Below are 12111 nucleotides of genomic sequence, written 5' to 3'. Positions count from 1 at the left end.
TTCTTTTTTTTGAGACAGAGTCTTGCTCTGTCACCCAGGCTGGAGTGCAGTGGCTCGATCTTGGCTTACTGCAAGCTCTGCCTCCTGGGTTCATGCCATTCTCCTGCCTCAGCATCTCGAGTAGCTGTGGCTACAGGCGCCCGCCACCACACCCAACTAATTTTTTGTATTTTTTAGTAGAGACGGGGTTTCACCATGTTAGCCAGGATGGTCTCGATCTCCTGACCTTATGATCCACCTGCCTCGGCCTCCCAAAGTGCTGGGATTACAGGCATGAGCCACCGTGCCTGGCCGAGTTCACTAATTCTTTCTTCTGCATAAGCAAGTCTGTTGTTGAAACTCTGAATTGAATTTTTCAGTTCTTAATTAAATTATTTTGCTCCAGGATTTCTATTTGGTTCTTCTTATATTTTCTATTTCTTTATTAAACCTTTCAACCTTTCCCTTTGTTCATGAATTATTTTTCTAATTTTATTTAATTGTCTATAGTTTCTTGCATCTCTCTTTTTTTTTTTTTTTTTTTTTCTTGAGATAGGGTCTCAGTCTGTCACCCAGGTTGGAGTGCAGTGGCTCAATCGAGGATCACTGCAGCCTTGAACTTTCAGGTTCAAATGATCCTCCCACCTCAGCCTCCCAGGTAGTTAGGATTACAGGCACCACTATACCAGGCTAATTTTTGTAGTTTTTGTAGAGATGGGGTCTCCCTATGTTGCTCAGGCTGGTTTCAATCTCCTGGGCTCAAGTTATCCTCCCATCTCAGCCTCCCAAAGTGCTGGGATTACAGGCATTAGCCACTGCATCCAGCCTCATTGAGCTTCTTTAAGATGATTGTTTTGAATTATTTTTCAAACAATGTGTGTATATCCATTTCTTTGGGGTCTGTTATTGAAGCTTTATGAAGTTCCTTTGGTGGTGTTGTATATGTCTGATTCTTTGATATCCATGTATCTTTGCACTGGTGTCTGTGCAATCAAAGTGAACTCTTCTTTCAGTTTTTACAGACTAGTTTTGGCAAGTTAAATTTGTTTTCTGTTATGTCTCTGGGCTGATGAGATTGCCTCTGGGATAGTGGTTGAGTTGGGTTGGGCCTGAGTCACATGACTGATGCTAGTTTTATAGTGGAGATCACAGTTGGTAGGTCTGTCCCCTGGGTGGCCTGGACTGGCTCCAGGAGCTTGGTCTTTGGGGCTGGTGCTAAGGTGAGGCTCCATTTCAGGATTCACAGCCAGTGGGCCTATTACCAGGTGTGCTGATGGGTGTAGCTTCCTGCAGACCTCTGGGAAGCCTCCCATTGGATGACTGGATGGTTCTTTACTTTACTGCCCTAGTCTATGGCTGAGGTAGGCTGTAACTAAATTGCAAGGCTCCCACAAGGAGACTTTTGTCCGTGAATGGGTGCAGAATTCTAGCTGTTATTAGGGAATATGAGTGAGTGAACTCCTATTTTGCCGTCTTACTGATGTCACGTCCTGACAATAAAATAAAGTTCTATTGTTTAAACCACCCAGTTTGTGGCACTTTGTTATGGCAGATTTAGCAAACTAATACAAGAGCTTTCAAGGGAATACTACCAAACATGATCTTCAGCAAACCTTCACATGGAGTAGCAGAGGTCCTTCCAGTTATGTTGTCCTATCCTCTCTCCACCTTGCTGGCTCTTTCTCACCATCTCCCCTACCCATCCCTCCATGATTCTGTCATTTTTCTCCTGCCTCCCTCTCAAGAGAAAAGCAAAATTTCTCTTATAACAGGCATAAAGTTGTTGCTCCCATTTGAAACAGCTTATCAAATTTTATTTTTAAGTACATATTTATAGGATTATAATATAAATGCACAGATATCAAGGTACCACCTGATGAAGCCCAGGCTTACTGCTGAGGTTTCCTTCTTTTCCTTTCTCCTTACAGGCCCCAGACACTCAGTTTGCTACTGATGCTCTTCAGAACTGCTACTACCCAAACCTTGAGTTTCTCCTTTCATCCAGAGAGGCCTTTAAAAATTTTAATCACCCAATGAAAGCAGGCAGAAAACATCAAAAAGATAAATGTGAGAGATTAACAAAAATTAAGGTGTCTTTCAGTTGTTTTTCTCAGCCTCTGGCTCCATGTTGACATGGAAACAGAAAATGCCTTTGGATTTTTGTCCTCTCCTTTTATTCCTGAGGGTGGCTCTCATATCATACTCTTCATAGAAGGGCATGATGACCCTTCTCCCATAAAAGTTCTTTGCTTCAGCAGAGGGATTGCAAGGTAATTAGAGCAGAAAAATGGGTGCCCCATGGGTAGAGTTACATGGACACACATATAGACCTTGAGAGTTAGCGTGCAAGGTGAAAATTGCATAGAATTCAAAATAGCATGGAAACTCTTTTATAAAGGTATCATGTTGGAAATTGAAATACCATTTTCATTAAGTCCAAGCCAACAGTTACAAACTGTACAGAAGTAAAACACAAGATGAAACAACTGGCTTGTAGGGGTCATGTTGTGTAAACATTGTTCTGTCTTTTTTTATTCTAGAATCACATTCAGCATGGCAAGTAGTTTGCACTGAAACTGACTGAGGGAACAAAAGATTTATGTCTCCTATCTGATAATCAGAAGCATATCTTCATTAAATAGAGTGGTTAGAAGATTTTCCCATAATATTTAAATGGTTGTTCTCCCTCTCTAACCCTAAGTGTATATGACTGAATTTGCTTCATACTGAACCTTTACTATGTGATTCAGCGGCATTTTTATCATCTTAAGACCTAACTAGAATTTCTCTTTAGGTAAAAACCTTTATGTGGAAATTTTTTTTTTTTTTTTGAGATGGAGTCTTGCTCTGTCACCCAGGCTGGAGTGCAGTGGCGCGATCTTGGCTCACTGCAAGCTCCGCCTCCTGGGTTCACGCCATTCTCCTGCTTCAGCCTCCCGAGTCGCTGGGACTACAGGCACCGGCCACCACGCCCAGCTAATTTTTTGTGTTTTTAGTAGAGACAGGGTTTCACCATGTTAGCCAGGATGGTCTTGATCTCCTGACCTTGTGATCCACCTGCCTCGGCCTCCCAAAGTGCTGGGATTACAGGCGTGAGCCACCGCGCCTGGCCATTATGTGGATTTTTTAAGAGAAACAACTGACTTTACTTTCAGCTGTGTCAGTTGCATCAGACTAATTTACAACAGACCAAACCTCCTACTAACAAACAAACAACAGAAAAGCTTAATTTTAAGAATGGTTGAAAGCATTAGAGTGTTACCAATGGAAGCCAGGACTTGAGGGGCCAAGTAAGGTGTCTGAGAGAAAAGGAAACTCACTGAGGTGAGCCTAGCCTGACATTCTATGCTCCTTTCCTTCTCAAGGAATTTGCTGGCTTATAATCAGTTTAGGATGAGACATTAAAATGCCAAGCAGAAAGTGGTGGCTAAGCAGAGGTTTGGGCATAATTGGAGCTTAGGGTTACCAAAGGAGAGAGGGATTAAGAGAGAAGGCAGCACAAAGAAGTGAGTATAATAATAGGAGATATTTTTCTTCTCAAAACATTTATCTATGCATAAGTAGCACGTAGTCAGGCTGCTAAACCAAGCAGAAAGCATTTGATAAGAAGCTGGCTTAAGCAGAGCTTCCACAATCTCACCATGCTGAGCAGGAGGTAATCTAGAAAACACCTAGGCTTTCACTTGCCAAATCAAGAGCTATTCCCAATCATAGGGACAAATCAGAAATAGACCTAGTTTTACAAATACTGAACTGCAGCCTTGAGTCAGTCCAATCCCTGATTTGGCTGTAAACTGACACTTGGTTGCTGTTGCCCACTGAACCCTGGTTATAAAAATCAGCAAAGGTGGCCAGGCGCAGTGGCTCATGCCTGTAATTGCAGCACTTTGGGAAGCCGAGGTGGGTGGATCATGAGGTCAGGAGTTCAAGACCAGCCTGGCCAACATGGTGAAACCCCGTCTCTATTAAAGATAAAAAAAATTAACCAGGCATGGCAGCGTGCACCTGTAATCCCAGCAACTCCGGAGGCTGAGGCAGGAGAATCGCTTCAACCCGGGAGGCAGAAGTTGCAGTGAGCCAAGATCGCACCACTGCACTCCAGCCTGGGTGACAGGGCGAGACTCTATCTCAAAAAAAAAAAAAAAAAAAAAAAAAAAAAAATCGGCAGAGGCTCTAACACAGTTCACAAAGACAGCCCTTTGCAGGAACTCTAGAAGACCTGATATGCTCCCCACAAAGTTCAGTCATTTAATGAGACATGTTGACATCACTTGTTCATGTGTTTGGCATGGCTCTGAGTGCAGGTACACAAAGGGTTGTTAAGATGTCTTTGTCCTCAAAACACTCATCATCTACAGTGAGAGAGACTGACAAGTAGAGAGCTGATGGCACTGAGTGTGACAAGTGCTATGAAAGAATTAAAAGGATGTCCCAGGAGGTTAGTAGAGGCACACCTAATCTATTCTTGATGTGGGGGTAGGTGAAGCCAAAGTGGGCTTCCCAGAGGAAGGGACACTTCAGCTGAGCCCAAAGGGCTATTAGTGTTTTCCCAGATGAAAAGATGAAAGGTATCAGGCAGAGGAAATAGCATATGCAAAGAGAGAAAGAGAGAGCATGGATTGTCTAAAAAACAGCAAATACTTCTGTTTGATAAATGTGCAAATTACCACAGAGAGTGACAGGGGCCAGATCATGAAGGGTTTCTTGTATCACAAGTTAAGGGGATCTCCAAGCCATGCCCGGTAGCTTTAACCATCTATTTGAAATGATACATTTACCAAGGGCAATGGTGCTCAGAACCTCATTGTTTGGTTCCTTCTGGAAACACTGGTTATCTCACATGATGAACTCTAATTGTCAGGCATGCATGTCTTCGTTGAATAAAGAGGCTAGTATTGCAATATATATTGCATATTATAATGGCTTGATTAGTGAAGAGAACTTGAAAAGGGGACAGATATGAGAGATATTTGGGCGTTAGACCTGTCTTACTGGCCTTGATGAATGTGAGACAGAGAGGAGTTAAGTATGACTCCTGGGCTTCTAGCTTGGGCAATTGAACTAATTTTCTTATGACAAATAATTATAGTCTTTTGCCTTGTCTATCTACCTTCCAAGGTGTAAGCTTCTTAGGTGAAGCAATTCAGAACCGCAAGAATTTACTGAATACTTTCTACATGTCAGGCATTTATTATCTCATTCATTCTTTACAACACGACAAAGACGTGAATACTGTTACTTTTTACCACTTGGCTTCTTATCTAAAACTACACTAAATACCATAACTTGCAAATGGGTGAGTTAGAATTTGAGTTCAGTGTATCTTACCTTAGATCCTGGAATCTTATTATTAGGCTTTTCTAGGAGACAGTGCTTGGATTTGAACTTAAGTCTCCTTTGAATCAGTTCTTAAATCTACCCAATTGGTGTGGCTCATAAAGATGGCCCCATAAGCTGTGGAACTAATGGATATTTCTAGGTCCGTTTACACTGACAGCCCTAGATTCTGTATGGACAGAATCTGTTCTAGCGGTTAAGATCAGCCCAGCTCTGTGAATGAAACTCCAGGGGCATGGCCATTTTCTTAGCCTCCTCTTCCTTACTGGCCCCATTCTGGGAGGCTGAGAAACACGGGCTCTTCCCAGCTGTTTAGTGCTTCTGCTGAGCAGCCAAACTTGCATTGAAGAAACAATTGGTGCCTTCTGGGATTTCAGGTGTTTCTGGAAAAGCAAACTGCACCATCCAGGGTGGGAGAGTTCTGATTTGAATTTTCTGTTTGGCTATTGTCAGAAGTGGTCAGGGAACTAATTACAGTGGAGCTTCCATTACATCTTTCTTCCTCTAAAGAGAAGACATGGAAATGCTACCTTGCATAGCTCTCTGAGAGTAAAGCAGCACCCTTCACTCTCTATCCCTAAAATGTCAGTCAGTGCGTTTTCATCAGCACATCCCCGTGACCCTTGTGGGTTACTTCCTGCAAATGGTCTGCAGACTCCACCTGGATTCATTCCCTGGCTCTCAAGGCCCAAATAAGGCAGTGGACATACTACTATATTAATAATTGTGAGCATAATTATAGTTCAGAATTTGCAAAACACTTTCACCTGAATTATCTCATTTAATCTTCACAACAGGCCCGTGAGAAGAGCAGGGGAGGTATAGTCATTTCCCTTGTTTTACGGCAGAGGAAACTGAAGATAAAGCTATGAAGTGAAGCTGGCTAGTGGCTGCCTCAGGGTTACTACTGATATCACTGGACCCCTTCAGAACCAAGCATGAATGAAGGTAGGACATGCTGACTCAGTCAGGCTATGGGGCTCCAAGCCCAGGGGGCCAGTGGGTGGGGTGATTCTCAGAGAGGAGTGGGGAGCTGAGTGTTTGGGAGGGAGCTGGGCTGAGAGGCCCAGACTATGGGGGATTCATTGGAAAGGGAGAAATTCTGAGCCTTTTCCTTTCTTTTGGTGCCTAGGGCTCATGTTAAGAGCTACCTGGGGGCTGCCTGAATCTGTCTGCACATGCCTACCCCATTCTTTTCTGCATGACAGAGGGCCAAGGATGTTAAATCATAGCTATTGGGACAGGTCTAGATTCCTCCAAGTTAGCCTAAAAGAGGGGTGTTAGTCATCCTTCAGTACCATGCTGAAAGGCCACTCTTCAATACAGCCTCCAAGGAGGGGACTGAAAATGGGTACCTCCCTGTCGCTGTCACCCTTAGGAGCTTTTCACATGGAGTTAGAATAGAGCCTAATGGAAGTGGGCAACTTGAAGCACATTCTTCCCAGGTAATGATTGCTCTCCTCCTTATGCACATTTGTTTGTATAGAGCTTATATGTCCTTTTGAAAGATGCATGTTCCTATCTCCCAGCTCCCTACCCTGGGCCCCAAAGCTCTTTGTGGGATCTGAATCTCTATTAAAGCTAGCTTTCATTACCTTGGATTAAGTCCCATGCCCCTGAGCCTGTCTCTTTTTATTCCCAGTATTCCACTAAATGGAAAGAAGGCAGGAAGGAAAGGAAAAACTGAAGGAGTGAGGCCCCCTCGTCAATTATATTACTTTGGTCTACAAGGAGCAGCAATATAGCTTTAGGTTTAAGAAACCTGGCATTGAATTTAGTTCTGTGATTGTAAACAAGTATTTCCACATTTTTTAGTTTGGTTTCCTTGGCTATAGAATGGAGATATTAATACCTTCCCTGCCTGACTCATAAAAATGTTGCCAAGATCACATAAGATAAAACAACGCTAAGTGCCTTGTTGTAAGCCTAGGACAGCCTTGTGGCTGGGACTTTCTCTATCAGTAGTTCTTAACAGGAGGGCTGCAACACCAGCCCTGGTTTTGGCATAGCCGTTGGAAAGACAGAAATGAAGCAGTGGATTGGTGTTCCTCAATTCAGGAAGACTGGCAGGCCCAGGGCATCACGATAGAGGAAAGCCTTGCTTGCAAATCCATCTCCCACTGTTTCAGCTTTGCTCTCAGCCATGAGCTTTTTATACAAAGAGCTGTCACATTTATGGTCTTGCTGAGCTTCACCTCAGTTCTAGGAGGAGAAACCTTTCACTGACAGGAGCTACACAGGAATACAGGAACTAAGGGACAGGACCTGGGACTACACCCCATGCCTCCTGAGGCCCATGCCTGCCCTCTTTCTCTGTATCAGCCACCCTGTTGGAGAGGGAAGTTTTGGTCTGGGGATAGAGAAAGGAAGGGTGATATTACTTTGGAGAATGGGTCACTTCAGAGAGGATAGGTATAGAGTGAGGGAGCTTCAGGAGGACTGTCTAAGAACCACAGCCTAGGATGAGGATCCTGGGGCCTGAGTAAGAAGTAGGAGAGAAAGTGGAGAGAGCCATTTATTCCTTCATTCTGGGAGCCCTTCCAGACAAGTGAGAGCTAAAATGATCAGACCCAGACTGATAACTCGGGCTAGAGTCGCTCAGAGAGTGAGGTAAGGATAAGGTAGGGATGAGGCTGCTGTTGGACCAACCCACAGAGATTGTCAGAGGCATCAGGGTGAGTCTGAGATAATAATCAAAGCCAGGCAGATGAGCAACCAGTTTATTAACCCAAAGGGACGGGTCAGAGGAAAATGTGGTTTCAAGGCCTTGGGACTGACACTGGGGACTCCAGAGCAGGGTGAGAGGGTTTTAAAGGCTGGAGCTGGCAAGGGGGAGGCAGTCTGGGGAAACCCCCTAAGTTAGGGGTTGAATGCTGAAAAGAAGGCTGGAGAAGTGAGAAGTCAGACAAAAAGAGAAAGGGCATGCCTGGGTTTTCCTTTTAGAAAGGCCACTCTAGCTGCACTATGGAGGATAATGATGGGGTAAAAGGGGCAGGAGAAGGCTGAAGGAGGCTGCTGAAGGCCTCATTCAGTGACAGTGGAGACAGAGAAATGAGAGACATGAAAGAGGCAGAATCCACTGGATTTAGTAATAATTTTGAGACAGAGTAGGGACTCCTCTTAAAGGCCTGCTGTCCCCAGCTCTAAGCATGGAAATAAAGGAAAATCTTGGGTTCATTCAGGGGAAATTCCAGGTACCCAGGTAGTCCTGAGAAGTAAATGAGCAACTTGATAAGCTAGAAGGTAATAATAGCTTAAAACACGAGCCAAGGAAGTTAGAGTCACGAGATGTTCCCTCTACAAACTAAAGATGACTCAACTTATGTCCGTGAGCTGTTTTGCAGAACCCCAGGCCCCCATCAAATAGACCCACTGCCACATAGGCCTCAGATAAGGGAGGGCTGAGAACTGAACTCTGACCTCTGTTCTTTGCTCTAAATTTCTTCCTGAGGGACCTGGAGGTAAGGCTATGCCCCTGAGCAAGAACCAACGTTCTTTTCTGACCTCACATTTTTAGACAAAGCTTTGTCTCCTAAGCCAATTGCAAATTAGAAAATCTTTGAATCTACCTATGACCTATAAGCCCCTGCTTTGAGATGTTCCACCTTTTTAGGTTAAACCAATGGATAGCCTCTGTGTATTGATATATGACTGCCTGTAATCTCTTCCTCCCCACCTTTAAAAGCCCTTACTTGCAAGCCATCAGGGAGGATGAGTCTTAAGCATGAGCTGCCCAGTTCTCCTTGCTTGGTGCCCTGAAAATAAATGCCTTCCTTTCTCCTGCTGCAAACTTCTGTATGGATGTTTAGCCTTACTGCACTGGGCAAGTGGACCCTAGCTGGGTTCTGCAACAATTTGAATGGGAGATGATTTGTGAAGGAGATGTCAAGAATGACTTCCAGATTTGCTGACTTAAGAGACTAGAAAACTTAATTCAGGCCCTCACTTTGCCATTATTTTCAAACTTTTAGACCATAAGCTGCTTTTAGGCCTCAGTTTCTACTTCTCAGGATAGGAAAGATGATGTAGAGTAGTAGTGTTCCAATGATGGTCATGGGGCCATCCTGCAGGTGTGGCTGGGCCTCAGGGAAAGAGCCCCAGAGAGGAGTCAGAAGATCCAGCTCACATCTTGACCCAGCCTGTAATGTCAGGAGGGCACAGTATTTCTGAGCCTAGGTCTTCATTTGTATAAATGGAGATAATTATTCATTTATTCAAGAAATACACATTTGGGGCCAAAGATAAAAGGAAGGAAATATGGTCTGTGCCATCTGGAGTGCACAGCTAAGGAGGAGAAGCAGGCCTACAAACCAATAGTTATAAAGGAGCTGAGTAAGTGCCAGAATGATGTAAACTAAACAAATGGAGGCAGTCCAAAGGAAGGAGGGACCAAATGCAAGAGCTGCATCTAGAGATAGGACAAGGGGTAACCAGGAAGATTGAGGGAAAGGTACTGTGGCCTGAGAACTAGGCTGAGCCCTCCCTTGCTGGACCCCTGTCTTTTGATTGCCCTTCCTTGATCCTAACCTCTCTCTCCTGTCATCTAAATAGCAATCCTTTTTCCCACCTGCAAGTGAGGCTCTGAGGGATTCTTCAGAAATCAAGACTTTGACCCACTCCATATTATGAATGCCTCAGCCTACAAAGAGCTTGCCTAACCCAACATCAAGGGGTGGACACGTGATGCTGGACTTCCAGGTACCAGAAACAGGCCTTACTCCACCTTCTATGAGCATATGCCTACACAGGTAGGCTGGGTATTGCATTTTCTGAAGAGCAGATACTGTATTTAATTCATAGTTGTATCCCCAGTGCCTTATGGCAAGCCTGCCATGTGTTTGTGACTAATAATTGTGTGGTGAATGAATCAAGTTCCATAAAGTCTTTAAATTTCAAAGGGTTATTGGCTCCTTTCTCAGCCTTCAGGCAGGATTGTATCTTAATCACCACACCTGGCAGCTGTTCAGGCTCCCTGAACAGGTGGCACCCACCTGAGAAATAGGCAGAGCGAACACAACACTTTCTATAATTTAACTTTCATTCACTAGACAAGTACGCATTGAGAAGCTCCTCTGTGCCAGTCTCTGAACACATAGATGACATCAAGAACATTACAGCCTAATTGGGGGACAGATATTGCGTTCATAATTGCCACACAGTGGAGGCCCAAGGGGGAGGGAATTGGTTCTGCTACAGGGATCTTGCTTGGGAGATGCTTGAGCTGTATCTTAAAAAATGAGTAAGAGTTCAACAGTTGGATAGGATGACAGGGTTAGGGGAGAGCAGGGGACCTGGGATAAGGGAATTTAAGGCAAGAGATGTCTATGTGTATTGTGTTTACAGCAGTGCTATTCAAAGTCCAGATCCACAATGAGATGAGGAATTTGCCCCAGCATTACATCCTTAAATGAGAAAGTCTTACTATAAAAATACTGTCACCTGAACTAAAGTATGTTTGTGACTATTGATTTGCATTCTGGCCCAGGCCCTTCTGTGAATTGGAAACATTGTTTGTGAACAGGCAGCAGATCTGGAGACTACATCACTGCTTTATAGTTAACCAAGTGCTTTTCACACAAGTTCAAGCTCTTTTGCCCCTCAAAAAAAATCCTCTGAAGTTGTCAGGGCAGGTATCATAATCCTCACTTTACAGGTTGGATATTGAAACTCAGAGAGGTTAAGGTTCACATCACCCCACTGGTGAGCAGGGAGGCTGAGATTTAAAGCCAGGAGTGCTCTCCCAGCCCTTTATTCTTCTCCTTCATCAATGGCTTAGGAAGAAAATGAGACTGACTTGAGTAATGACTTCATGGCCAGCATGGCCCTAGCAACAAATGTCAGAGTGTGGGGCATAAGTGTGTCATGCATGTGACCTCCCATGGTATTTCTCATGTTCCTCCGTCTCATATTGCTGTCATGTCTTAAATAGAGACAGGATGACTTTTCCTTTCTAGCCACCCACTCTGGAGTCGCCTCCACCTGCCCTCCCAGGGGAGCTTCCTCCAGCACAGCCTGTGCTTGATATTTCACTACCTGAAAGGACTTGGCATTGGTCCCATGCAAGGAGACTGTCTCATGCATTCACAGAGACAGCAGGCATCTACTCAAAATAGGCTTACCGTTCCACGAATGCCATTCTGGGGTATGCTGCTCTTATCCTGGTAGGTGGGGCCATGATGCTGTTCTGAGCTGTCCTATCTATTCCCTTGGAGTACAGCTTCCTGAGCACAGCCTTTTTTTTTTCCATGCAAAGAAGCCAAAAGCAAATGGAGACAACTACAGGGAAGGTCACATGGGCCGAGAGAGATGGGAGCCTTCCAACCAAAAGAATCATAAATCTTCAGTTATGATCTGGCCGTTTCTCTAAGCAGCAAGCTAGTGGGGAAAACTCAAGGGGCCTGTGCCTGTGATTCCCATGGCCCTCTGACAGTGGGCACATTCTACAAAACTTGAGTGAGCTGCAGATGGTCAATGGCTCTAACAGCTGGCCTCCTGGAATGAAGCCATGCTGCCCATCAATGTCCTGGAGGGGTTCCTACCTGGACAGGGGCTCAGCCAGGGTTTCTCACACCTGCAGACCCTCAGCTGGAAAGTAATCAGAATCTTCAGCCTTTTAAAAGCTAAGTCTTAGAAAAAGCAATATAGACTCACACTGCCAAGGAGGATTAAAGAAAACTACTGGAGAGATTCTTGCTATATGTGTCTTCCTTCACCTTGGCCTGGAGTCACATATTCTGAAGTAGTGCCATAATGAGGAAAGAGAAAGAGCACTGGCTGGCAGTCAGAAGGCTATCC

General features: G+C 44.5%; 1 long non-coding RNA gene across 3 annotated transcripts in view; it reads left to right on the top strand.

Annotated features, from left to right (window-relative positions):
* PIWIL4-AS1 (PIWIL4 antisense RNA 1) overlaps positions 1-12111 on the top strand; it is a 195024-nt gene that overhangs the window by 54706 nt on the left and 128207 nt on the right. For all 3 annotated transcript variants that reach the window (NR_135093.1, NR_135094.1, NR_135096.1), the window contains 2 exons: positions 6114-6264; positions 9868-10014. This is a non-coding gene — a long non-coding RNA (PIWIL4 antisense RNA 1). The remainder of the gene's footprint in view (positions 1-6113; positions 6265-9867; positions 10015-12111) is intronic.

The sequence above is a fragment of the Homo sapiens genome, chromosome 11 (assembly GCF_000001405.40).
Source record: "Homo sapiens chromosome 11, GRCh38.p14 Primary Assembly".
NCBI lineage: Eukaryota > Metazoa > Chordata > Mammalia > Primates > Hominidae > Homo > Homo sapiens.
Note: the sequence above shows the minus strand (reverse complement) of the source record. Positions and strands in the feature narration are given on the sequence as shown.